Source organism: Homo sapiens, chromosome 1, assembly GCF_000001405.40.
Source record: "Homo sapiens chromosome 1, GRCh38.p14 Primary Assembly".
In the NCBI taxonomy this organism is placed as follows: Eukaryota; Metazoa; Chordata; class Mammalia; order Primates; family Hominidae; genus Homo; species Homo sapiens.
Window position 1 is genome coordinate 17,504,818 of NC_000001.11, and position 26,532 is coordinate 17,531,349.

General features: G+C 50.9%; 1 protein-coding gene across 5 annotated transcripts in view, besides 3 other annotated features; it reads left to right on the plus strand.

Moving 5' to 3' along the window:
* Window positions 8,618-26,532, plus strand: part of ARHGEF10L (Rho guanine nucleotide exchange factor 10 like) — a 184,441-nt gene continuing 166,526 nt past the window's right edge. For 4 of the 5 annotated variants that reach the window (XM_006710728.1, XM_006710731.1, XM_047424111.1 and 1 more), the window contains exon 1: window positions 15,380-15,641. The gene's annotated coding sequence lies outside the window, so the exon portion shown is untranslated. Of the gene's footprint in view, window positions 8,707-15,379; window positions 15,642-26,532 lie in introns of those variants that run through there. The other variant, XM_024448061.2, reaches the window with a different exon arrangement.
* Window positions 9,616-10,117: an enhancer, noted in NCBI's record as "H3K4me1 hESC enhancer chr1:17840929-17841430 (GRCh37/hg19 assembly coordinates)". NCBI's record gives its function as "activates a minimal SCP1, AML or CMV promoter by ChIP-STARR-seq in primed H9 embryonic stem cells {active_cell/tissue: H9 hESC(primed)}" and the evidence as "EXISTENCE:reporter gene assay evidence [ECO:0000049][PMID:30033119]".
* Window positions 16,473-17,139: an enhancer, noted in NCBI's record as "OCT4-NANOG-H3K4me1 hESC enhancer chr1:17847786-17848452 (GRCh37/hg19 assembly coordinates)". NCBI's record gives its function as "activates a minimal SCP1, AML or CMV promoter by ChIP-STARR-seq in primed H9 embryonic stem cells {active_cell/tissue: H9 hESC(primed)}" and the evidence as "EXISTENCE:reporter gene assay evidence [ECO:0000049][PMID:30033119]".
* Window positions 17,140-17,804: an enhancer, noted in NCBI's record as "H3K4me1 hESC enhancer chr1:17848453-17849117 (GRCh37/hg19 assembly coordinates)". NCBI's record gives its function as "activates a minimal SCP1, AML or CMV promoter by ChIP-STARR-seq in primed H9 embryonic stem cells {active_cell/tissue: H9 hESC(primed)}" and the evidence as "EXISTENCE:reporter gene assay evidence [ECO:0000049][PMID:30033119]".

The following is a 26,532-nucleotide window of genomic DNA, read 5'->3' on the forward strand; positions in this document are numbered from 1 at the left end:
AATCGCTTGAACCCAGGAGGCGGAGGTTGCAGTGAGCCGAGATCGTGCCACTGCACTCCAGCCTGGGCGACAGAGCAAGACTCCGTTTCAAAAAAAAAAAAAAAAAGTCTGGGCGGGGTGGCTCATGCCTGTAATCTCAGCACTTTGAGAGGCCGAGGTGGGCAGATCATAAGGTCAGGAGATCAAGACCATCCTTGCTAACACGGTGAAACCCCGACTCTACTAAAAATACACACATGCACAAAAAAATTAGCCAGGCATGGTGGCGGGCGCCTGTAGTTCCAGCTACTCGGGAGGCTGAGTCAGGAGAATTGCTTGAATCCAGGAGCAGAGGTTGCAGTGAGCCGAGATCGTGCCATTGCATTCCAGCCTGGGCAACAGAGTGAGACTCCATCTCAAGCAACAACAACAACAAAACAGCAAGCGTCTATTTCTTGCCCTTGTTACATGTCTGCAGTAGGTGGACCAGGAGCTGTGAGCATTATGGTCACGTAGAGTCCAGGGCTGGTGACGTTCTTCATCTCAGCACTTTTCTGGCCACTGCCCCAGAGAGAAAAGAGAAGCTCAGGAGGGAGTTCAGGACTCATCGGCCCCACCCACCCAAAGGGCCCATCCTTCTTTCTAGAAGGGGACAGCTGGAAGTATTTGGTGAACAACATTTACAACTTCATATGAGCAGTGAATGAGTGTTAGGTATTGCTTTCTGCTTGAGTCCTCAAGTTGGGAGAGTAGTAAAGTGAAAATAAAAAGAAGCAATATTGTTTTGTTTTGTCTTTTTGAGACAGGGTCTCACTTTGTCACCCAGCCTGGAGTGCAGTGGTGTGATCTTGGCTCACTGAAGCCTCCGCCTCCCAGGTTCCAGTAATTCTCCTGCCTCAGCTTCCCGGGTAGCTGGGATTACAGGTGCCCTCTACCATGCCCAGCTAATTTTTGTATTTTTGGTAGAGATGGGTTTCACCATGTTGCCCAGGGTGATCTCGAACTCCTGAGCTCAAGCAATACACCCACCTCGGCCTCCTAAAGTGCTGGGATTTCAGGCATGAGCCACTGCGCCCAGCTGGAAGCAATGGTAATAGAAATCACAATAGCATAATAGCGGCTCCACGTATTGAGTACCTACTGTATGCCAGCACAGGGACAGGCCTTTTATCTGTGTCATTGAATCCTTACAAGAACCCTGTTAGATCAATCTTATTATCCCCCTTTTAAAGCAGGATGAGGCTCAGAGAGTGTAAGGGACCTGCCTGGCATTGCCAGGTTTGTGGCAGAGCCAGGATTTGGATCCAGGACTCTATTTTTTTTTGAGACGGAGTTTTGCTCTTGTTGCCCAGACTGGAGTGCAATGGCCCGATCTCGTCTTAACCACACCTTCCGCCTCCTGGGTTCAAGCGATTATCCTGCCTAAGCCTCCCGAGTAGCTGGGATTACAGGCATGCGCCACCATGCTTGGCTAATTTTGTATTTTTAGTAGGGACAGGGTTTCTCCATGTTGGTCAGGCTGGTCTCGAACTCCTGACCTCAGGTGATCTGCCTGCCTCGGCCTCCCAAAGTGCTGGGATTATAGGTGTGAGCCACTGCGCCCGGCTGTGACCCCTTTTTAATGCTCCCCAAAGGCTGACCAAGGTGTCCCAGAGATTAGGCAAGGAGCCAGACCAGGCTGTCCATCGACTGAACTGGTCCATCTGGACTCCTGTCAGTTATGATCAGGAATCAGCAAAGAATAGGTCAAGTACAGTGGCTCATGCCTGTAATCCCAGCACTTTGGGAGGCTGAGGTGGGAGAATTCCCTGAGGCCAGGGGTTCAAGACCAGCTTGGGCAAAATAGTGAGACTGCCATCTCTGAAAAGAAAAGAAATCAGCCAAGAACTGTCTGGTTTTGCGCCTTCACTCCCCCGATCCTTCCAGTTTTGTGCTATAAATTCCTTTGAGGAATTCCAGTGTAGGCTGAGGTAGCCAAGAGGCACAGGGCCTCCTTAGCCCCATCAGACTGACGGTGGCTCCTCACCTCACACAGCCGTTCATAACAATAGTCTGTGTTGACTGCACCGGCACCGTCTACCCACACTATGCCAAGGGCTTTGTGAGCATTTTCTTTTTTTTTTTTTTTTTTAAATTGATAACAATTTAACTTTATTTTTTATTTATTTATTTTTTTCCACTTTTTTTTAATTATTATTATACTTTAAGTTTTAGGGTACATGTGCACAATGTACAGGTTAGTTACATATGTATACATATGTTTTCTTATTGAAAGCTCCCCAAACCCTCTGTTATTATCCCCATGTTATACAAGTGGGAACACATGCACAGAGAGGTACATGTCCTGTCCAAGGTCCTACAGCTGGTAAGGAACCAGAATTGGAACTCAGGCAGCCTCACCCCACGTCTTCACCTCTAACCTTAAGCTATAAAGGGTTCTTACATTCTTGAGCTCTTGAACTCATCTGATCTCCCCTAGGCACCTTCCACCACATGCACACACACACACACTCAAGCAGTTATTATGACTCCAACTCTACAAACATGGTATCCGAGGCTCTGGGACATGTTCAAGGTCACAGACTGGTCAACTGGTTCAAATCCAGTGTCCTGGCTGGGTGCCATGGCTCACACCTGTAATCCCAGAACTTTGGGAGGCCAAGGCAGCGGATCACTTGAGGTCAGGAGTTTGAGACCAGCCTGGCCAGCATGGTGAAACCCTGTCTGTACTAAAAATACAAAAATTAGCCAGGTGTGGTGGTGGGCGCCTGTAGTCACTACCACCTGCAACTTCTGGGCTGAAGCCATCTTCTCTCAATCTCCCGATTAGCTGGGACTACAGGCATACACCACCACGCCAGGCTAATTTTTTAATTTTTAGTAGAGACAGGGTTTCACCATGTTGGCCAGGCTAGTCTGGAACTCCTGACCTCAAGTGATCCTCTTGCCTCGGCCTCCTAAAGGGCTGGGATTACAGGTGTGAGCCACTGTGCCCGGCCAGATCATGTCTTTTTGACTCTGGCAAGGCACTGTCCCACTGTGGGCCTCGGCATCCTCATCTGGAACATGGGTGTGCCAATGGCACCCACCTCAGGAGCTTGTTGGGAGGTAGAAAGGCTTATGAAAGCACCTGGCACTTGGTAGGTGGTTAATGACAGCTTCTTGCCTTCCTGCTTTGCTGCGGGTGCCCCCTGAACCCAGGGAAGTAAGTTTATGAGCCACTGGTCCTCATGGATCTGCTGGGAGGTTGGGGAGAGAGCCGTGGATGGTTGCCTTGTCCATCACAGCTCCTGGGTGCAGTTCCAGGAGCAGCCTCCGGTGGTTACATAGGCAAGGGGAGACAGGTCTCTGGAGATGCTTCCATCTGTACAGAATGGACTGATCTCAGGGCCTCTGCCCTGGGCCTCCTGATGTGCTGTGGGAGGCCATGCTGGGCTGCAGGTGGGCGTCGGGGCCTGGCGCACAGGAGACACTGCTCTCTGGGAAAAAGGAATGTGACTGGTGACATGCCACAGGGACAACAGCAGCAGCCCCTTCTAGGCACAGGCAGCTACTGGGCACCAAACACTCCATCCTCTGCTCCTCGTGGCCTTTGTTCACGGTGACCCTTTCCCACCTATTTTGGGATGCAGAGGTTGAGGCCGCACAGGCTTTCTAGCTGACTTGCTGCTCCTCCCTGCTCTGCTCCACGTGAGTTCCATGTTCAGCTCATCCTAACATGGGCCCCTGAGCACCTGTCCTGACCTCTGTTTTTTTTGAGATGGAGTCTTGCTCTCTCACCCAGGCTGGAGTGCAGTGGTGTGATCTCGGCTCACTGCAACCTCCACCTCCTGGGTTCAAACAATTCTCCTGTCTCAGCCTCCTGAGTAGCTGAGAGCACAGGTGTGCACCACCATGCCTGGCTAGTTTTTGTATTTTTAGTAGAGATGGGGTTTCACCATGTTGGCCAGGCTGGTCTTGAACTCCTGAACTCAAGTGATCTGCCTGCCTCAGCCTCCAAAAGTGCTAGGATTACAGGTGTGAGCCACTGTGCCCAGCCCTGTCCTGCCCTCTTTCCTGCCCCTTTGCCTCCCAGCACCAAGCCCCATGGCTGCCCATCCACCCCGGCTCGCACCCCATCCTTCTCCTCTCCCATCCCTTCCTCCCCCTACCTCTCCATGCCCTCCTCCCCCCAGTCATGGAAGGTGCCAGCCCCAATGAGCAATGACTTCCACAGTTGTCCTTGGCTGGCTGACACTTGTCTGGAAAGTGGGGGTGGGGTCTCATCAGGGGCCCCACTGAGGAGCTTTATTGGCAATACAGATCACTTAATTTATTTTCATCATTATTATTATTTTTTGAGACAGAGTCTTGCTCTGTCACCCAGGCTGGAGTGCAGTGGCACAATCTCAGCTCACTGCAACCTCCGCCTCTCAGGTTCAAGCAATTCTCCTGCCTCAGCCTCCTCAGTAGGTGGGATTACAAGTGCCTGCCACCATGCCCAGCTAATTTTTGTATTTTTAGTAGAGACAGAGTTTCGGCATGTTGGCCAGGCTGGTCTCGAACTCCTGACCTCAGATGATCCGTCTGCCTCGGTCTCCCAAAGTGCTAGGATTACAGGTGTGAGCCACTGTGCCCTGCCAGAAATCACTTAACTTTAAAAAGTTCCTTCCTCCCTGATTTCACCGGTGATCCTGAGGCCTAATGACTTACAAACAGGAAGTCTTTGAGGAAGCTGCTGCATTCAGTGTTGAAAGCCTGGGAACTCACTGGCTTCAGAGGGGCAGGGGAGAGGGGAAAGTGAGGCCTCTCCTGAGGCTTGTGGGGCCTCTGGAAGGGACCGATTTTCAGTGAATCAGCCTTTACGTTTCCCAGGACTCGGGGCAGCCTTGCCTTTGGTGCAGTCCAGGTGCCTGATGTCAGGGCGGAGCACTGCATGACTCTGGGGGCACCGTCCCCAGGCTGTGAAGGCACCTCTCGAGTTGTACGATGTGGTAAGACTAAGGCTCTGTCACCTCCAACTGCCAGTGCTGGCCTGGCCTGTGTGGGCTTTGCCTACCAACGAGGAGGAGAAAGGGCCCTCCATGGCCTACCTTGCCCTACCTGTGCCATGCACCTGACTGCCTGCCTTGGTTTCCCTGGGCTGGGCCCTATACTCTGCCCATCTCTTGCAGTAGGAGGGGCCCCATAGGGATCCTCCTTCCCTGGCCAAGGCAACTGGAGGGATATCTCCACATTGCGGTGGCATCAGCCCCTGACACTGAGGAATGCGGCTGCCTGGATGCTGCTCTCAGGACTCCAACTTGGGACAGCCGCTGATGGGCTGACATTTGCCCAAACTGGGCCCAAATTAGAAGAAGAAGGAAGAAGAAGCTCCACATCCCAACTCTGCCTCTTTCTCTCTTTGTGATGATTGGACAAGACGCTTAAATCTCTTTGAATCTCAATGTTCTCATCTACAAAATGGGGATAATGGCCAGGCACGGTGGTTCACACCAGTAATCCTAGCTCTTTGGAAGGCAGAGGCAGGAGAATCACTTGAGCCCAGGATTTTGAGACCAGCCTGGGCAACACAGTGAGACCCCACCTCTAAAAAATGGGGATAATAATAAACCTATTACAAATAGGTGGGGTGAATCTTGGCGGAACCAGGTAAGGTGGCTCAGTGGTGGGGATGGAGCAGGTACCCAGAAAATGCCAGCTGTCAAATTCTTTTTTTTTTTTTTTGAGACATAGTCTTGCTCTGTTGCCCAGGCTGGAATGCAGTGGCACGATCTCGGTTCACTGCATCCTCCAGCTCCTGGGTTCAAGTGATTCTTCTGCCTCAGCCTCACCAAGTAGCTGGGATGACAGGTGTGAGCTGCCGTGCCTGTCCTTAGCTGCCAAATTCTCTTCCCCTCAGAGCCCTAGCCGTTTAGGTAAGGCTTCCCCACTTCTGTTCCACCTAGACCTTACCTACTCCTGCCCCTCAACTCAGGACAGTCTAGCATAGATGAGGCAGCTGAAATCCTGAGCACCAAGGCGAGAGTTTAATCTCTCCTCTGCATTTTTGATGAATTGATTTGGTGCAGTGGAGGTTTTCAGTAGATCTGTTTAAATGACAGATAAGAAGCATTTGCTGTTATCCTGGCCATCGTGAGTGCACATGGGGCTTCCACGGTGTTCACTTTTGCTTTCTTAAATTTATTCATTTCTTCAATACATGCTTATCAGCCCCCTACTATGCGCTCAACACTGGGTTAGGCAGTAGGTACACCAGTGAATCAGGCTGGCAGAGTCTGATTTCCACGGACTTTATGACCCAGTTGAGGGCATAGATAAAATCTAAGCCAAGAGATATATCACCTCATTAGTGATTGCAGTAAATGCTTTGGAAGAAACAAACTAATTTGCTTATTAAAACTTAAAGGATACAAAGGTAAGTTCCAGCCCCATGAAATCTGAAGGTTTTTTTAGGATAATAGAATAAAAAACCATAAGTGCCCCCATGGTCCCTGCATAATGAATGGCCTGCTAAGCCTACAGTCTAAGTGCTTTATACAAATGAGCTCATTTACTCCTTACACCAGCCTTTATAGTTGAGTGTCTTTATCCCCATTTTACAGACGGGCATATGGAGGTCAAAGGGTCAAGTGGCTTTCCCAAAGTCACAGGGCTTGCTGATGAAGCTGGATTCAAACTTGGGTTTGTTTGATCCCTCCCTGTTGTAATTACAGGCCTACAGTATTTGTTGCTGCGTCTCCATCTCAGTTGGGAGCTCTTGAGGATGTGTGGCTGGAGGCTTGGGAGAGAGCAACTCAGGAAGGGGCAAGTAGATCACATCCCCTCACCTAGGGTGAGGACCTCCCATCTGAGCTAGAAGTTGCTAAAGTCAAGGCCCAACCCAGCAATTTGTCCCACAGCGAAAGGGAGCAAATGGCATCTGTCTCTAAGAGGTTGACCCTGAAAATGGGCATCTGGCCTCAACCTTGTTTGCAAAAGTGGGATGAGGATGAGGGGTGCGGATAAGAGTTCCCGTTCTGCATTCATGCAGCATGCGAGGCCCACTTTGTCATGTGGCCATGACTTCTTACACTGTCAAGGCTGCGGGCAGGTGGCTTAGGAGGTTGGGAGCCAATTGGAGAACCTTGAGCCCAGAATCTGGACTCCCTGTTTCTGGTACCACCTGCCACTGGCTGCCTCAATCCATTTCTCCCCTTGGTTAAGAGCCTGGGCCCTGGAAATTAAAGAACCTAGATTTAAATACCAGTACTCTCACTTAATAGCTGTATGACTTGTCAAATTATTTAACCTCTGTTAGCCTCAGTTTCCTCATCTTTCATTTTTCATTTTTAAATTAAAAAAAATTTTTTTTTTTGAGACGGAGTCTTGCTGTCACCCAGGCTGGAGTGCAGTGGTGTGATCTTGGCTCATTGCAACCTCTGCCTCCCGGGTTCAAGTGATTCTCCTGCCTCAGCCTCCTGAGTAGCTGGGATTACAGGCACCTGCCACCATGCCCAGCTAATTTTTAAATATTTTTAGTAGAGACAGGGTTATACCATGTTGGCTAGGATGGTCGCGAACTCCTGACTTCAAGTGATACACCTGCTTTGGCCTCCCAAAGTGCTGATATTACAAGGCTGAGCCACCGCGCCCAGCCTACATTTAATTTTTTTGAGACAGGGTCTTGCTGTCTTGCTCATGCTGGAGTTCAGTGGCATGATCTCAGCTTACCGCAGCCTCGACCTCCTGGGTTCAAGTGATCCCCCTGCCTCAGCCTCCCGAGTAGCTGGGACTACAGGCACACACTATGATGCCTGGTTAATTTTTTTATTTTCGTAGAGATGGGGTCCTGGCTATGTCACCCTGGTTGGTCTTGAATTCCTGGCTTCAAGGAGTCCTTCCACCTTGGCCTCCCAAAGTGCTGCGATTACAGGTGTGAGCCACAGTGCTCAGCCCCTCATCTTTCAAATGGGCATAATAAGATCTGCAGGCTGGGTGCAGTGGCTCATGCCTGTAATCCCAGCACTTTGGGAGGCCAAGGCAGGCAGATCACTTGAGGCCAGGAGTTGGAGACCAGCCTGGCCAACATGGCAAAATCCTGTCTCTACTAAAAATATGAAAATTAGCTGGGTGTGGTGGCGGGCGCCTGTAATCCCAGCTGCTTGGGAGGCTGAGGCAGGAGAATTGTTTGAACCCGGGAGGTAGAGGTTGCAGTAAGCTGAGATCGTGCCACTGTACTCCAGGCTGGGTGACAGAGCAAGACTCTGTCTCCAAAATAATAATAATAATAATAATTAATTAATTAATTAAAAAAAATTACAAAGATCTGCAGCTCAGGCTGTTTGGGAGTAAACCAGATGGCTTATGTAAAATGACTTTGCCCGGTTTCTGGGTGATCATACTGCCTTGGTCAAGTCAAATCCTATTCTTCCAGGAACGTGGGGTATTGGCAGCATTTCCCCAACTGCCGTGGAAAAACAGGGTGTAACCTGTAAACATTTTTTCTGTGATTTTGTTCTAACCACAGGAGTGCTTATCCATGTAAGAGACTATTGTCCCTTTATAGCAGTTACAGTTAGAAGGCTCTACTTCCTCCAGCGACACACCTGAACCCTGACACTCCTGGGAACTTTGCTCTTGGAAATGTCTTCAGAGCCTGGGCACAGCTTTGAATGTATTCAGTGGAGAGGGCATTCATTCTCCAAGGGTCAGTCTGGTGTTTGGAATTAGCAAGAAATCCTTTGGACCCAAGACTGCTGACTTCAGGTGAAAATTTGAGCTGGGAAATACTGACAAGGACAAGTGGAAACAAAATGCAGGTTGGGGAGGGTAGAGAAAGGTTTTCAACCATGGAGGGCCATAGAGCTGCATTAAGCAATTTCACAATCAAAAATGTTTGCAGGATGATTCTCGCATGGGTCAGAAAGAGAAATCTGGGGTATCCAATTGGAGGTATTAATTTTGGAGGGCTGACCTTGGGCAGAGGGTGATGCTCTTCCAGAAACAACTGTCCCCAGATGTTACATGGAAATTCTTTCTTTTTTTCTCTTTCTTTTTTCTTTTTTTGAGACGGAGTTTCGCTCTTTTGTTGTCCAGACTGGAGTGCAATGACACAATCTTGGCTCAGTCCAGTCTCAGCTCACTGCAACCTCCGCCTCCCAGGTTCAAGCGATTCTCCGGCCTCAGGCTCCTGAGTAGCTGGGATTACAGGCATGCACCACCATGCCCAGCTAATTTTGTACTTTTAGTAGAGACAGGGTTTCTCCATGTTGGTCAGGCTGGTCTCGAACTCCTGACCTCAGGTGATCTGCCTGCCTCGGCCTCCCAAAGTGCTGGGATTACAGGTGTGAGCCACCTCACCCAGCCTCTTTTTTTTTTTTTTTTTTTTTTTTTTTTTTTGACAGAGTCTCGCTCCGTTGCCCAGGCTGGAGTACAGTGGCATGATCTCAGCTTACTGCAACCCCGCCTCTTGAGTTTAAATGATTCTCCTGCCTCAGCCTCCCGAGTAGCTGAGATTACAGGCGCCTGCCACCACGCCCAGCTAATTTTTGTATTTTTAGTAGAGACAGGGTTTTGCCATGTTGGCCAGGCTGGTCTTGAACTCCTGATCTCAAGTGATCCACCCGCCTCAGACTCCCAAAGTCCTGGGATTACAGGCGTGAGCCACTGCACCTGACTTGCCAGTTCCAAATTTCTGAGGCAGAGAATGTGACTGTCGAGTGGGCAAGCCATGGCATGGATCGCATGGTATCACTATGCCTGCTGGGATCCATCCTTGGGAGTGGAACATGCTTCTCAGGAAGGAAATGGGAGGGTTGTTTGGGATTGGGCAAGCTCCTCCTCAATAAGAAATGAATTGGGACACCCCTTTATGGAATCACTTCCACTCTGATGAAATCATCTGGGAATTTTCAATCAGAAGATTTAGAAAGATGCTATTTTCATTTTGCCTTACCTATATCTTTTGTGTCTTCTGGCTTATTGCTTTTGAGGTGTGTGTGTTGGGGGGACCTCTAAAAGTCATCCTGGGCCTTGGTTAGGCCACCACATTGACCTGGCCTGGGGACCTACTCAGCTTGGAGGCCAGTTGGCTGGAGGTGGGGGAGGAGGGAGCCCCAGCTGCGGCCTCTGAGCCTCTCGTGCCAGCGGCCCCGTCCAGCCCACCTCGGCCCGGCACCTCTTGTCCTTCCGGCCCCTTGAGGGAGCGACTTGTTCCCTTTCCAGCTTCTTTTTGCGGAGCATGAGCCACTGACTATTTGAAATGGGACACCCTCTTGATAGCACCAAGCCTCTGCTTTCCTATGGATAAAATGCCCAGCCTGCTTTCTTCAGAAAGTTGGTGCGGGAATCACATGAAATTGGTGGTTGTGAACAAGGGTCCTCAATGGGGGGCAACTTGTCCTGGGGAAGGGGACATTAGGCAACGTCTGCAGACATTTTTGGCTGACAGAAGTGTGGGAGAGGGTGCTCCTGGCATCTTGTAGGGGAGGCCAGGGTACATGGTGGGCACTTAGATATTATTTCTTTTTCTCTCTTTTTTTTTTTTTTTTGTTTGAGACAGAGTCTCACTGTGCTGCCCAGGCTGGAGTGCAGTGGTGTGATCTCGGCTCACTGCAACCTCTGCCTTCTAGGTTCAAGTGATTCTCCTGCCTCAGCCTCTGGAGTAGCTGGGATTATAGGCGTGGGCCACCATGCCTGGCTAATTTTTGTATTTTTATTTTTAGTAGAGATGGGGTTTCACCATGTTGGCCAGGCTGGTCTTGAACTCTTGACCTCAGGGGATCCTCCTGCCTCGGCCTCCCAAAGTGCTGGGATTACAGGCTGAAGCCACTGTGCCCTGCCAGATACTATTTATTTTTCTTTTCTTCTCTTTTTGCTTTTCTTTTTTTCTTTTCTTTTTTTTGAGACAGGGTCTTGCTCTGTCACTCAAGCTAGGGTACAGTGATACAATCATGGCTTATTGCAACCTATGCCTCCTGGGCTCAAGAGATCCTCCCACCTCAGCCTCCTGAGTAACTGGGAGAACAGGTGTGCACCACCATGCCTGGCTAACTTTTGCACTTTTAGTAGAGACAGGGTTCTGCATGTGGCCCAGCCTGGTCTTGAACTCCTGGACTCAAGAGATCTGCCCGCCTGAGTCAAATGCTGGGATTACAAGTGTGAGCCACTGCACCTGCCCAGATACTGCTTCTAAATCAAAGTTGAGCCTCAGTTAATGGTGAGCCCAGCATGGTACTGCTTTGAGGCCCTGTACAGATGGCAGAGAAGACTAACGGCTTGGTGAGGGGCTCCTTGGGGTACTGTCTCAGTGACTAAGTGACTGTAGGTGGGCACAGCTGCTGCTGGCAAGGGCTGCTTCCAGTGTGCTGGGGGAGCCGGTTGCCCGGCAGCCTTGCTGAGTGGAGTATGGCTTAGGAAACTCATTATGCTACCAGTGGGGAAAAGCAAGCCTCCCCTCACCTCTTGGAGTGACCGACAGTTTGGGGGAAAAAAAGTGGAAGTGGATTTACTGATTTGTTTTTCTCTGAACTCGTGGTTCCTTCCCTAATATTCAGCCCCTCCTTTGCCCTCCTCGGGCCTTTGCAGGGCCCGCTGGGGGTGTGGGTGGGGTGAAGAGGGGCAAGAGTAGAGAAGATCCCTCCCCTCTACAGGGCCAGAGAGGAGATTCCAGAGACATTTCCACCCTTCAACAGATGGGGGCTGGTCCAGGGTTTCAAGTGAACACACAAAGGCCAGCTCTGGCAGCTCCACACTCCCCGTCCCTGTCCCCTGACCTCTGCTGCTGCTGCTGCCGTGGGAGTGGAAGGCCCGGGTCAGCCTTCCCGGTGGGTGAGATGAGAAGGCAGCCCTTCCCAGGTGGAGCTCTGGGAATGAGAATGCAGCCTCCCAACTGCTGCAACCTCCTCCTTGCCAGGGTTAAGGAAAGTGCAGGAATCAAGGCTAGGGGGTGGGAGGGGGCAGCATCATCCCCTGCAAAACCCCAGAACAAGGGAACCTGGAATCGCCCCTCCCATCTCTGGCCAGGTCCCCGCCAACGAAGAGGTCTCCATGCTATTACTTCTGCAGGTGGAGCAGCCGGTTTCCACCTTCCCTCCTCTTCTCTTACACTCCAAGCCTCCATATAAGGACCACAAAGCTCTCACAGTGGCAGAAGGCTTTCTGCCTGGTGGACGCTGTTCTAGGTGCTATATAGGCAAACCTGCATTTAATTCTCCTGCATGGTTGTATTCCTATTTCATAATCAGAGCCAGGACTCAAATCTGGGCAGTCTGACTCTGGTGCAAAGGTCGGCAGCCTCCCAGGAGGGAACCCAGTCAACCAGGCATGTGTTTACTCTCCCGTGCTCCAGGACTTTTCAATCCAACAGGGACTTCCTCATTTGGGTAACCAGGTGAGCCAGAGACTTTGGATTTGGTCAGCCCTTCATTCAAAACATCCATGTACTACAGACTTTCAGTGTGACCTTGGGCAAGTTACTTTAGCTCTGAGAATCCTCAGTTTCCCTCTTTATAAAAAAGGGGAAATCTTGTTGTGAAGCTTATATGAAATTATGTATGGAGAGGTGTTTTTTATTATTATTATTTATTTTTGAGACCAAGTCTTGGTCTGTCGCCCAGGCTGGAGTGCGCAGTGGTGCAATCTCAGCTCACTGCAACTTCCAGGTTCAGTGATTCTCTTGCCTCAGCCTCCTGAGTAGCTAGGACTACAGGTGCGTGCCACCATGCCTGGCTAGTTTTTGTAGAGAGAGTTTCGCCATGTTGCCCAGGCTGGTCTCAAACTCCTGGCCTCAAGTAATCTGCCCACCTTGGCCTCCCAAAGTGCTAAGATTATAGGTGTGAGCCACTGTCAAAGGTTTTTAGAGTATAACACATGTAAGAGCCAATAGCCAGGATTATCATTATTATTCTTTTCTTTCTTTTTGAGATGGAGTCTCCCTCTGTCACCCAGGCTGGAGTACAATGGCACGATCTTGGCTCACTGCAACCTCCACCTCCGGGGTTCAAACAATTCTCCTGCCTCAGCCTCCTGAGTAGCTGGAATTACAGGTGCCCACCTCCAAGCTTGGCTAATTTTTTGTATTTTTAGTAGAGACGGGGTTTCACCATATTGGCCAGGCTCTTCTCAAACTCCTGAGCTCAGATGATCCAACCGCCTCGGCCTCCCAAAAGTGTTGGAATTATAGGCGTGAGCCACAGCGCCTGGCCCTCATTATTATTATTTTCATCATCTAAGCCAGGGGTCAGTAAACTTCTCTGTAAAGGGCCAGATTGTAAATATTTTTGGCTTTATGGGTCCTTCAGTCTCTGTCGCTGATCAAATGTGTTGTTGTGTCTCCAGAGTACCTATGGACAATATGGTAAATTAGCAAATGGGTGTGGCTGTATTTCCATAAAACTTTACTTATCAAAAGAGATGATGGGCTGGATTTGGCCCATGGGCCATAGTTTGCTGGACCCCAGTCTGGGACCCTGAGGCCTCTATTGCTGGTGTCTGAGCAGAAAGTGGGGCTGGGCTTTGGTGTGAAATTCACACATCTGTGTGCAGACTGCTGATCCGTGAGTGTGTTGAGGGCAGGGGTTGATTACCTTTGAGACCCCATCCTCGGTTCTCAGGAGCACATTAGAAGGGCAGAGCAAGTGTGTGTGGTTGAATGACTTGTTCCTGATGTCTAGATACTTGTGCTCTTAATGATCCCAGAAGATGTTGGCTAAGATCTGGGGGTAATCAAAACTGACAATAAGAACTCAGTGAGGCCAGGCGCAGTGGCTCAAGCCTATAATCCCAGCACTTTGGGAGGCTGAGGCGGGCAGATCACCTGAGGTCAGGAGTTTGAGACCAGCCTAGCCAACATGGTGAAACCCCGTCTCTATTAAAAATGCAAAAATTAGCTGGGCATAGTGGTGCACACCTGTAGTCCCAGTTACTTGGGAGGCTGAGGCAGGAGAATCACTTGAACCTGGGAGGCGGAGGTTGCGGTGAGCCAAGATTGTTCCAAGTGGAACCCACTGCATTCCAGCCTGGGTAATAGAGCAAGATTCTGTCTCAAAAAAAAAAAAAAAAAAAAAAAGAAAGAAAGAAAAAAGAAGAAGAACTCAGTGTGCTGGTCCCTCTGCCCTTAAGCAGCATCAGTGCCAGGTGCAGTGGCTCACACTGGCAATCCCAGCACTTTGGGAGGCCGAGGTGGGTGGATCACCTGAGGCTGGGAGTTCGAGACCAGCCCCAGCCTGACCAACATGGAGAAACCCCGTCTCTACTAAAAATACAAAATTAGCTGGGTCGGGTGGCGCATGCCTGTAATCCCAGCTACTCGGGAGGCTGAGGCAGGAGAATCGCTTGAACCTGGGAGGCGGAGGTTGCGGTGAGCCGAGATCGAACTATTGCACTCCAGCCTGGGCAACAAGAGTGAAACTCTGTCTAAAAAAAAAAAGGCATCAGCATAATCAGAGCCACCATTAGGGCCAATTCTCTCGGAGCCAGGAGCCCTTTCCCTACACAGTCTCATTTAATTCTCACAAAAACCCCATCAGGTAGGGACTATTATAATCACCCCAGGTTAAGAAGGAGGAAACTGGATGGGCACGTGGCTCACAGCTATAATCCCAGCACTTTGGGAGGCCTAGGCAGGAGGATCACTTGAACCCAGGAGTTCGAGGCCAGCCTGGGCAATATGGTGAAACCCTGTCTTTACAAAAAATACAAAAATTAACCAGGAGTGGTGGCATGCACCTGTGGTCCCAGCTACTTGGGAGGCTGAGGTGGGAGGATCACCTGAGCCCTGGAGTTTGAGGCTGTAGTGAGCCGTGATCTGATCATCCCGCCACTGTGTGACAGAGAGAGCCCTTGCCTCAAAAAAAGAAAATGAAAAAAAAGGAGGAAACTCCATCATGGCCAACCTGGTGAAACCCCATCTCTGCTAAAATACAAAAATTAGCTGGGCATGGTGGTGGGTGCCTGTAATCCCAGCTACTCGGGAGGCTGAGGCAGGAGAATCACTTGAACCTGGGAGGTGGAGGTTGCAGCGATGCAGTGAGTCAAGATCGCACCATTTTACTCCAGCCTGGGCGATGACCAGAGACTCCATCTCAAAAAAAAAAAAGAGGAAACTGAGGCTCAGAGAGACAAGGCCGGTTGCATGATGTCACATGGCTGGAGAGGGCGGGGATTGGCACTTGGATCTTTCTGACTTCAAAGCATATTCCTTTCCACCTTCTCTGGCTAAAAGGGGTGCAGCCCATGGGTGACCCTCCAACCCTGCCCTGTACCCAGGCCCTGTGTGCCTTCCCAGGCCAGCGGGCAGTGGTCGGAGCTCAGCCCTACTACTTGGCACCCCCCTCTGGATTCCCCATCTTGGTTCTTGCCCCTCCCTTCCTCACCCAGGCCAGCTTCCTGGTCCTCCCAGGCTGGTTGATGGATGGCTCAGCCCCGGCTGGCTTGACTCAGTCTAGCTTTTCCTCGTGGACTGCCAGGGCTGCCTCCTGTCCTCCTGCTTACCGCCCTTGCCCGCCCAGCAGGTCGGGCAAGTGAGTGACTCACACACCTGGGCTCTGTGTGGGCCCAGCCCGGGGAGCCAGCGTACTCACCCTCTGGGCTCCTGCCTGCTACTTCAACTGACAGACGGGACCCTTCCCAGTAGAAGGGGGCTGCCCCTGTCACTTGTGCTCCCTTCCCGGAGGACTGCGATTGGACTGCACAGGATTGAGGTCAGTTTCCTTTCTCTTTTTAACCATCTCTGCCCCTCGCTAAATTGGAGGAGAATCTTTTGGAGGTCGTGGGGGAGGGGTCTCAGCTGTCATTGACACCCTTGTGTGTCAGGCCCTGGGGCACCCTACTCCCTCCCAGCAGGTGCTGGAGCTTGGGGACACCTTGGGATGGACTCTGTGAGGAGAACCGTGCTGGGTGCCTCTATGGGTGTGACCCCGATCCTACAGCCACCTAGCAGGGCAGGTCACGGCAACCTGGAGTGAGAACGGCAGAGGTGGACTGCAAGGGCGTGTGTAGGGGGGACTTCCCTCACTTCCTTCTTAGGGTCACAGAGTGAGGGATGCAGCTTGAGATGGCTTCAGTTCAATGGCATCATTTTACAGCTGGGAAAACTGAGGCTTGGAGGAGAGGGAGTAACTGAGGTGGATTGATGCATTGGTGCTGGAACTGGGGTTGGAAGGCGGACTGGCTGACTCCCCGCCCAGGGCTCCTTCCTTGGTCCTCCATGCCTGTTCCAGGCTGTTTCCCCCTGCTTTTCCACTCGGCTCTCTCCCATGCCATCCGGGCCTCAGCAGGGAGGAGGAATGCAGCTGGTGGGAGCCATTTCACAGGGGGATTTTATGGGCTCACATTTGGAAGGCATTTTGAAGGTCATCCAGGCCATGAACCTCTGACAGGTGGCTGTTTAGCCACAGCTTGACTATCTCCGGGAATGGAGAGCTCACTGTTTTGTTTTGTTTTGTTTTGTTTTTTTGAGACAGAGTTTCACTCTTGTTGCCCAGGCTAGAGTGCAATGGCATGATCTGGGCTTACCACAACCTCCACCTCCCAGGCTCAAGCGATTCTCCTGCCTCAGCCTCCCGAGTAGCTGGGATTACAGGCATGCGCCACCACGCCCGGCTAATTTTGTATTTTTAGTAGAGACGGGGTTTCTCCATGTTGGTCAGGCTGGTCTCAAACTCCCGACCTCAGTTGATCTGCCCGCCTCGGCCTCCCAAAGTGCTGGGATTGCAGGCGTAGAGCTCGATGTTTTTGGAGGCAGCCTCTTTCATTTGCATGACCACTGTCTGGCAAATTACTGGGCACTTACTTCATGGCGAGCACTTTGCTAACAAAGCACAGTAGGTGTGTAAATGCCTTTCATTCCCGACACCCCAATGAGGTGTTGTTGTTATCACTCTTATTTTACAGCGGAGGAAACAGGCACAGAGAGGTTAAGTAACTTACTGAAGATTTCACAGCTTGAGAAGGAGGAGCCGAGCTTTGAACCCAGGGAGTGTGGTTCTAGTGCTCAGCCAAGCTCTTAGCTGCTGTACTTGGCTGCTACCATAGGAGAATGGGGCTTCCTAGGGAGGGGGTCCTGCCTGTCATGGTGAAGCTGAGGTTGGAAGGGGGACATTTAGGTGACTGTGTGACGCTCTGGCTGGTTGGCCTCCTGGGGCTGAAATGTCACTATCCAAGTTCTTCTCCCGTCACCTGCTTTGCCTCCTTGGCAAATTACCCTATCCTTACGTAGCCCCCAGCTACCAGAGTCCAGGACCAATGGCTCATGACTCCCAGGACGGACGGTTGTGTGCAACAACAGAGGGAGGGTTGAAAGCCGTGGCCCAGGATCTTCGATACCACTGTCAGGGTTTCCTTGGAGTGTCCCGGGCAAAGGAGGCAGGAGGTGAGAGTGGGCGTGGCAGAGGGGTGGGAGGGGCCTGGGCCCTGCGTCTGTTTCCTTATCAACATTTTGGCCTCCTGGAGTGGCACCTCACGTGCGGCCTGTCCACCCCACCTTGCCCGTCTATTTAGGGGAGCTTGGTGGTTAATGAGGGCAGCGCCTCATCCTAAGGTGTTGGACAGTTTACAAAGCCAGCCAACGCCGTCCTGAAGGGTGCTCACAACAGCCTGGGGAGCTGGGAAGGGCAGGAATTGTGATGATGCTCATAGTTGAGGAATAGAGGCTCAGAGACGTCAGGTGAGCTGCCTGGGGCCACACAGCTAAGTGATGGAACAGAGTCAGATCCTGCCTCCCCAACCCCCCGACCCCTGGCTTCTAACAGAGCAAGCTCCACACCAAAGCTGGCTCCTCCTCTCGGTGGTTTTTCCTCCAGAGAAATCCTCGTCGGGGGCAGAAGTGTCAGGGCTGCTGAGGCAGGGCTGCCTCCCTGGCTTTTGGCCCCTAAATTAGAGTCTCCTGAGGTGGCTGGGGGCTACCCCTCTCTTCTGTGCCCGCAAAGGCTTGCTCTGAGTGTGATGCCAGCAGGCCTTCTGGCTGGATCTCTTCAGTTAATGAGACTTTGGGACTTTCAGGGGGGTGACTGGCCTGGCTCCATTCACATCCCTCCCCCCTGGAAGGTGAAAGAAGGGTCCCTGATATCTTCTTCCAGGACTTCCTCTCCAGGGCAGTCATGGGAACAAGAGATTCTTAAGTTGATCCCATCCTGTCTTCTCCCTCTCCTAATGATAATACTAATCACAGCAATATTGACCACTAATACTAGTCATGTTCCTGGTGGCACATGTCTGTGGTCCCAGCTACTCGGGAAGCTGAGATGGAAGGATCTCCTGAGCCCAGAAGTTTGAGGCTGCAGTGAACTGTGATTGCCATTGTTCCATTTTCTTTTTATTTGTTTTCCATTTTTTTTTTTTTTTTTTTGAGATGGAGTCTAGCTCTGTTGCCCAGACTGGAGTGTAGTGGTGTGATCTTGGCTCACTGCAACGTCCACCTCCTGAGTTCAAGTGATTATCCTGCCTCAGCCTCCCAAGTAGCTGGGACTATAGGTGCCCACCACCACCACGCCCAGCTAATTTTTGTATTCTCAGTAGAGATGGGGTTTCACCATGTTGGCCAGGCTGGTCTCGAACTCCTGGCCTCAAGTAATCAGCCCGCCTTGGCCTCCTAAAGTGCTGGGATTACAGGTGTGAGCCACCGCGCCCGGCCCACCATTGCTACATTTTCATTTATTGGGCACCCACCGTATACCAAGCTCTGTGCCAGGCATCCTGCTGGCCATGGCTCATTGAGCCCTCCTGGCAACCCCATTTCACAGATGAGGAAGCTGAAGTCCAGAAAGATGAAGTCACTTGCCCTGGGTCACATAGCTGGTCAATGACACTGAAATCATCAGTCAGAAAGTTGAAAGCGCACTTCACCCAAAGTCACCACCCAAGGTCACACACTGTTCATGGCACAGCCAAGACTAGAGCCTGGCTTGGCTGAATCCTGATTTCCTGCTCTTCCCACTCAGTGCCTTTGGGTTGGGCTACAGTGGGACTTTTGAGCCATGGGTTCTAGAGTTGTTTCTGCCTTTACAGGACATTAAACAAGCCACTCAATCTCTGGTGGCCTGGGTCACACCATCTGAGTGCAGGGGCTGGTGATTTATTCCCTGTGAGTAATAGTTATGGCTGGGAATGCCTTTGAAACATTGGCACATGCACACAGAGAGTTAGTATGAAGAGAGATAATTGCCCAAGCCATGTCTGCAGTCTCTTCTGTGACTGTGAAAGCTTTGATATTTAATCATAAGAATGAACTTGGACCTCCGGATATGGGTGGCTCATGCCTATAATCCCAGCACTTTGGGAGGCTGAGGCAGGTGGATCACATGAGGTCAGGAGTTCGAGACCAGCCTGGTGAACATGGCGAAACCTCATCTCTACTAAAATACAAAAATTAGCTGGGCATGGTGTTGTGCACCTGTAGTTCCAGCTACTCAAGAGGCTGAGGCAGGACAATTGCTTGAACCTGGGAGGTGGAGGTTGCAGTGAGCTGAGATTGCAGTGAGCTGAGATTGCAGTGAGCTGAGATGGTGTCACTGCACTCCAGCTTGGGTGACAGAGCGAGACTCCGTCTCAAGAAAAAAAAAAAGAAAGACCTTGGATCAGCCTGGGCAACATAATAAAACCCCGTCTCTACACACACACACACACACACACACACACACACACACACACACACACACACACACACAAAATTAGCCTGGTGTGGTGGCTCGCCTGTAGTCCCAGCTACTCAGGAGGGTGAGGTAGGAGGATCGCTTGAGCCCAGGAGGTCGAGGCTGCAGTGAGCCAAGATGGCACCACTGCACTCCACCCTGGGCAGCAGAGTGAGACACTGTCTCAAAGAAAATGTTATATATGTGTATGTATAAAATGACCTTGGGATGCAGGAACACAACCATGTTCTATTGTGGGGAAGCTGAGACTCAGGGACATGAACTCACTCACTCAAGGTCACAGGACCAGGAGATGGGGAACCAAGGATTTGAACTTGGTCTGGTCTTCATGTCTCCAGAAGTAAGCACCTCCCATCATGTTGAGAGGCAGCTCCCCGGGGAATGGGACTCTCCCAGGGTACTCAGGCGAGAAGCAGTGAACAGGTTTGGAGCATGGACTCCTTGGATTCCAGGTGGCCAGTCTTATAGGAACAAGGTTTAGGAGCTTAGCAGGTAGGTCTGAGGGAGGTGGCCTGGAGCTGCCACCAAGTAAGTCCTCTTCTCCCCTGCTCAGGCCTGCTCCCATTTTTTCCTTCAGCAGAATGACAGAGACCCCCTTCCCCCATCCTTCCTTGTCTCAGAAACAGAGGCAGCCTTTGTTTCAAGGGGAACCAAGAAAACAGGGAGCTCTCCGGACCACACTGTGACCTGCTCTGCAGGTAACCCTGGTCCTTCCTGCTGGCCCAGCCAAACCCAGCTCAGCTACTGTAGAGACATCCAATACCCCAGCATGGGGAGGGAGGAGAGGGAGGGAGCCAGCGGGGTTAAGTAGTGCCCCTGCCCACCTTCTCCCTCCGCATCTTAGTCTACCCTGTCTCTCCCCCTGAGCAATGTTATAATTAAATCTGATAAGCATCCGTTCTATCTGATAAAAAAGGTCCCAATGTCATGGTTGGTTTGAGCCAACTGGGGTGGGGGATGGGACCCTAGGCTGGGAGCCAGGAGGCTGCCTCTGCTCCCCACGCCATTCTTCACGCCCTGCATGACCTTGAGCAAATGCTTGACCTCTTGGGGCCTCAGTTTCTCTCTAGGAAAGGAGGATGTTGGCTTGAGCCATGGGTTCTAGTCTTGTTCCTGGTGGCACACGCCTGTGGTCCCAGCTACTCAGGAGGCTGAGATGGAAGGATCGCCTGAGTCCAGAAGTTCAAGGCTGCAGTGAGCTGTGATGACACCACTGCACTCCAGCCTGGGCAACAGAGCGAGACTCCTTTCCAAATAAATAAATAAACAAATAAATAAAATCATTCTTTTAATAATTTTTTTTTAAAGTAAAGAGGCTGGGTGCTGTGGCTCATGACTGTAATCCCAGCACTTTGGGGGGCTGAGATGGGCAGACCACTTGAGATTGGGAGTCTGAAACCAGCCTGGCCAACATGGTAAAACCCCGTCTCTGCTAAAAATACAAAAATTAGCCAGGTGTGGTGGCGTGCGCCTGTGTCCCAGCCACTTGGGAAGCCGAGATGGAAGAATCGCTTGAATCCTGCAGGTGGAGGTTGCAGTGAGCTGAGATCCCACCACTGCACCCTAGCCTGGGTGATAGAGTGAGACTCTGTCTCAAAAAAAAAAAAAAAAAGAAAAGAAAAAAGAAAACCAGGAGGAAAAGAACTAGAGGGCAATAACTCCCCCACTCCCCATCTCCCACCCCCTATTCCTCAGGGCCCTTCCCCTCTGAAAGTCTCTGAATTGCTCAAATGGATGGCTCCCCAGTGCCCTCTCTGGGTTCCCTGCCAGTGCTCCCTCTCCTTCCTCCCTGTGTGGCTGCAAAGCCCAGGGAGCACAGGAATGCAGGGGAGGTTCTTATTGCTTCCGATATTCAGGGGACTGGCCAAGACTGGAGTGATCTCTGTAAAAACCTGCCCCTAGTCTGTGTGGCCAATTTTTGGAATAAACCTGGGATGCCAACGTTTGTGGGAGAAGAGGCCTCCTAAGTCCTTTCCACCTTATTAGTGGAAAAATTTGGACTTTTTGGTCAGAGTTGGGTTCAGATCTCAGCTCTGTCCCTTCTGATGGTGTGAACTTGGATGAGTCACTTGGTCTCACTGAGGTGTTGAGAGGGTTATGAGTTATCCCAGGCAGATCACTAAACCTGGTGCACAGCAAATGCTCAATGAAAGGAAGGCCATATCTTGGCACCAGGGTTGCCCCAACTCCCTGTTTCTGACAAAGAGACAAGGCTGGCCGGGCACAGTCACTCACACCTGTAATCCCAGCACTTGGGGAGGCCGAGGTGGGCAGATTGCTTGAGCCCAGGAGTTTGAGACCAGCCTGGGCAACATGGCGAAACCCCGTCTCTACTGAAAATATGAAAAATTAGTCAGACATGGTGGTGTATGCCTGTAGTCTCAGCTACTTAGAGGCTGAAGCATGAGAATCGCTTGAGCCTGTGAGGCAGAGTTTACAGTGAGCCAAGATCACACCACTGCACTCCAGCCTGGACAAGAGAGTGAGACCCTGTCTCCAAAAGAAAAAAAAAAAAAAAGACAAGGCTCAGGGATGGCAGGATGCCTCGTTGTGCTGTCTTGGATGGCAATGACTTGTTCCATTCAGGCGGGCGGATGTCTCTAAGTGGGGCCGGGATCCCACTCTGCTTTCTAGCCTTTTTCTCTTCTTCATTTTCTTGAAAAGTTGTTCTGGAAACTACAAAACTGGGCCACAGGCCTCCATGCCTGCTCTCCTGGGACTACCGACTTGTTTCATCTCTGAGTCTTGCTTCTCCCAAAGGAAACTAGAAACCCTGGGCTCTGATCAGGGAATGCAGGGGTGGGGGAAGGGGGCAACCTGCTTCACATTGATCTCACCCCAGAACCGGGTGGCTGGCTGACGCCGCTGATCAGAATTCATGTGGTCGGAGGATTTGTAGGTCAGCATGAGATCTTTTAATACACCAGAGAATAATCTCCCTAAAGCTCTAGCCTCCTGGCGGGTGCTCCACACACAATTCTGAGACAGCACCCAGGGAATGGGTTGGGATTGACTCCGACCAGAACTTGAGAGGCTGGCACGGCTCTGTTCCCAGGCCCCACCCTGGAGCCACAGGGCAGGGAGCTCACTACATTGGAGACATTTTATGGCACCACCCGTACCCCTCACCCGGAGCCGATCCAGAGACCTGTAGTTTGGGATTGAGCAGGTTAAATTCCCTGGTGGCTTCTGGGAAAATGCTTGATCAGACTCTGTGCACTGCTGTCTTTACTGAGCTCTCTCAAAGTTCATCACCCCCAAGACACTCCTTTTTTTTTTTCTACGCCTGAAACATCAACATACTCTTCTCTGCTTTGCCTGGAATCCTTGCCAGGGGATTTTCCAGTTAGCAGAAAAACTGCATCCAGTTTCCGACCTATTCACTGAGGGGGTAGGTGACTGGGAGGCGAGGGTTATTGCCCTCTAGTGCTTTTCCTCTTGCTTTTCTTTCTTTCTTTCTTTTCTTTTTTTTTTTTTTTTGAGATAGAGTCTCACTCTGTCACCCAAGCTGGAATGCAGTGGCATGATCTTGGCTCACTGCAACCTCCGCCTCCTGGGTTCAAGCGATTCTCCTGCCTCAGTCTCCTGAGTGGCTGGGACCACAGGCATGAGCCACCATACCTGGCTAATTTTTGTATTTTTAGTAGAGATGAGGTTTTGCCATGTTGGTCTCAAACTCCTGGACTCAAGTGATCCACCTGCCTTGGTCTCCCAAAATGCTAGGATTGTAGGTGTGAGCCACTGCGCCTGTCCCTTTTCCTCTTGGTTTTCTTTACTTTGAAAAAATTCATTAAGATAATTATTTTCTTTCTTTATTTGTTTATTTATTTATTTGAAACAGAGTCTTGCTCTGTCCCCCAGGCTGGAGTACAGTGGCATGATCACAGCTCACTGAACTCCTGGGCTCAAGTGATCCTCCCACTTTAGCCTCCCAAGTAGCTGGGACCACAGGCATACACCACTATGCCTGTATAATTTATTTTTACTTTTTGTAGAGACAGGGTCTCACTGTGTTGCCCAGGCTGGTCTTGAACTCCTGGGCCCAAGTGATCCTCCCACCTCGACCTCTTAAAGTGTTATAGGCATGAACCGCTGTGCTCGGCCTCCTTTTGGTTTTCAGTTGTATTCATCCATCCACCCATCCATCCATCCATCCATCCAGCCATCCATCCTCCATCCATCCATTTGTCCACCACCCATAATTTTCATCCATCCATCCATCCTCCATCCATTCATTCATCTGAAGACTGTTTATTGAATTCCTCTTCTGTGCCAGACACTGCATTCTGGAGACACAACTCTGTGCACTGGATACATGATCCTGCCCTCGGGGGATAATAGTATAGCAGGGGTAACAGACAATTTAACAAGCACTATAGTACTTGGTGCTAGGCTTAACGTGTGCTTATCAGTGTGCTCATCTGTTGCATGGGATGGTTCCAGTACTTACTTCATGGGATTATTGTGTTTCCATGGGATAATACGGTAAAGGGCTGGCTCAGGTCTTGTCGTGTAGCAAATGCTCAATAAATGTTAGCCATGTTGATGATGATGGTTGTGAGGATGGTGATATAGATGATGATGATTAAGATCATTTTGTTTTGTTTTGTTTTTTGAGATGGAGTCTCCCTCTGTTGCCCAGGCTGGAGTACAGTGGCGTGATCTTGGCTCACTGCAACCTCTACCTCCTGGGTTCAAGCGATCTCCTGCCTCAGCCTCCCAAGTAGCTAGGACTACAGGCATGCACCACCACACCCAGCTAATTTTTGTATTTTTAGTAGAAACAGGGTTTCACCATGTTGGCCAGGCTAGTCTTGAACTCCTGACCTCAAGTGATCCACCTTCCTCGGCCTCCCAATGTGCTGGGTTTACAGGCACGAGTCACCACATCCGGCCAATTAAGATCATTTAACACAGTGTCCGGCATTAACTAGTTAACCAGATGTATCCATGGGTTGTTCTGGGAAGTTGGCTTGTCCTTGGCAGCCACAGACAGTAGAGGGGATGGTGACATAGGGCAGACCCCAAGCCAGCTTCTCAGGGTGGGGAGGGCTATGAGCAAATCACCTCCACACAGGTGCTGTGGATGCTAGCCATGCCTTCTGGGCTGGGTCTAAGGGGTTCTTCAGGGAAGCCTGGGCCACCACAGCTGCCTATCTGGTTTGCCCAGTTAGGAGCTGGTTGAGAAGCATCTGAGGGCAAAATGACCCATGAATGACAAGCTGTGAACTGCCTTTGCAGGGGCTGGGGCAGGCTATCTGGGAAGTTCCTGGGAGCTCAGAGGAGGTGGGTGGCACTGGAGGATGACAGGAGGCAGCTATAGGTGGAGCTCTAAGCAGAGCAGCCAGGAATGATCAGGGGGTCCCTGGTAACCTCCCATGGGGCTTATGGGGCCATGGGGCCAGGAACACATCAGTCTTTTTTTTTTTTTTTTTTTTTTTTTGAGACGCAATCTTGCTCTTGTTGCCTAGGCTGGAGTGCAGTGTGACGATCTCGGCTCACTGTGACCTCCACCTCCCAGGTTCAAGCAATTCTCCTGCCTCAGGCTCCCGAGTAGCTGGGACTACAGGCGCCTGCCACCATGCCCGGCTAATTTTTGTATTTTTAGTAGAGATGGGGTTTCACCATGTTGGCCAGGCTGGTCTTGAACTCCTGACCTCAGGTGATCCACTCACTTCGGCATTCCAAAGTGCTGAGATTACAGATGTGAGCCACCGCACCTGGCCACACAGCAGTCTTGTTTCCTTTACTGGCAGCTCCTGGAATGGTGCTGGGCACACCCTAGGCACCTGGGATGTTTGTTGAATGCATGCCAAGTCTCTATTGGGATGGTTTGGTCTAACTATCATGCTGGCTTACCTGTAAGGAACAGTGGTTCTGGAACCAGAGAGAAGAGGGTTCAAACCCTGGCACCCCCACTTAATCAGCTCTGTGGGACAATGGGTAAGACATTTTCCCTTTCTGAGCCTCAGTTTCCTCATCTGCAGAATAGGAATTGCAATATCAACATTGAGGGTTGTTGTGTAGATAGGAGATGGTGCAGGGGGTGAGGTTAGCTCTCAGAAGGTACCCACAAAGGATCAGCTGTTATTGTCATTATCCATGCATCTGTGGTGACACCCAGGGTTGTGAGCCAGTACTGTGGGATTGAGAAGGTGGGGATAGAGTGCCTGCTGGACATTGTGAAGTTTTGGGGCAATGTGGTGGGGGAGAGTCACATAGACCTGGGATCTGTTGTTTACTTGCTGTGTGACCTCAGGCAGGCTGCTTACCTTTCCGGACCTCAGTTTCTTGTATGAAAAAGAGGATCTTGAAAGCAGCCATTCTGGTTGGGCGTGGTGGCTCACGCCTGTAATCCTAGCATTGGGGAGGCTGAGGTGGGTGGATCACTTGAGGTTAGGAGTTCGAAACCAGCCTGGCCAACATGGTGAAAACCCCGAATACAAAAATTAGCCGGGCGTGGTGGCAGGCTCCTATAATCCCAGCTACTTGGGAGGCTGAAGCAAGAGAATTGCTTGAACACGGGAGGCAGAGGTTGCAATGAGCCGAGATCGTGCCACTGCACTCCAGCCTGGGTGACACAGCAAGACTCCATCTCAAAAAAAAATAAAAATAAAAATAAAAAAAAGAAAAAAAGAAGGCAGCCATCCTACAGAGTTCTTGCAAGAGTCAATGGGATCATGCATGAAGACTGCAGAGCCTGGCGTATGGTAAATGTAAATAGATGCACAGTAAAAGTGGGGGCATCATCAGCACAGGTGGCCTTCAGAGGAGGAGTGGGGTGAAAGGTCTTTGGAAGGGTGAATGTGGGATACAGTGGGGACTCAGGGTTTTGGCAGAGGGAAGGGGCTCCGGGCCTCTTTCACGTCCCTGACGTGCTGAGTCTCCCTTCCAAACTGACCCACCCCTGTGCCTCTGCTGACCCACTAGGTGGGTCAACATG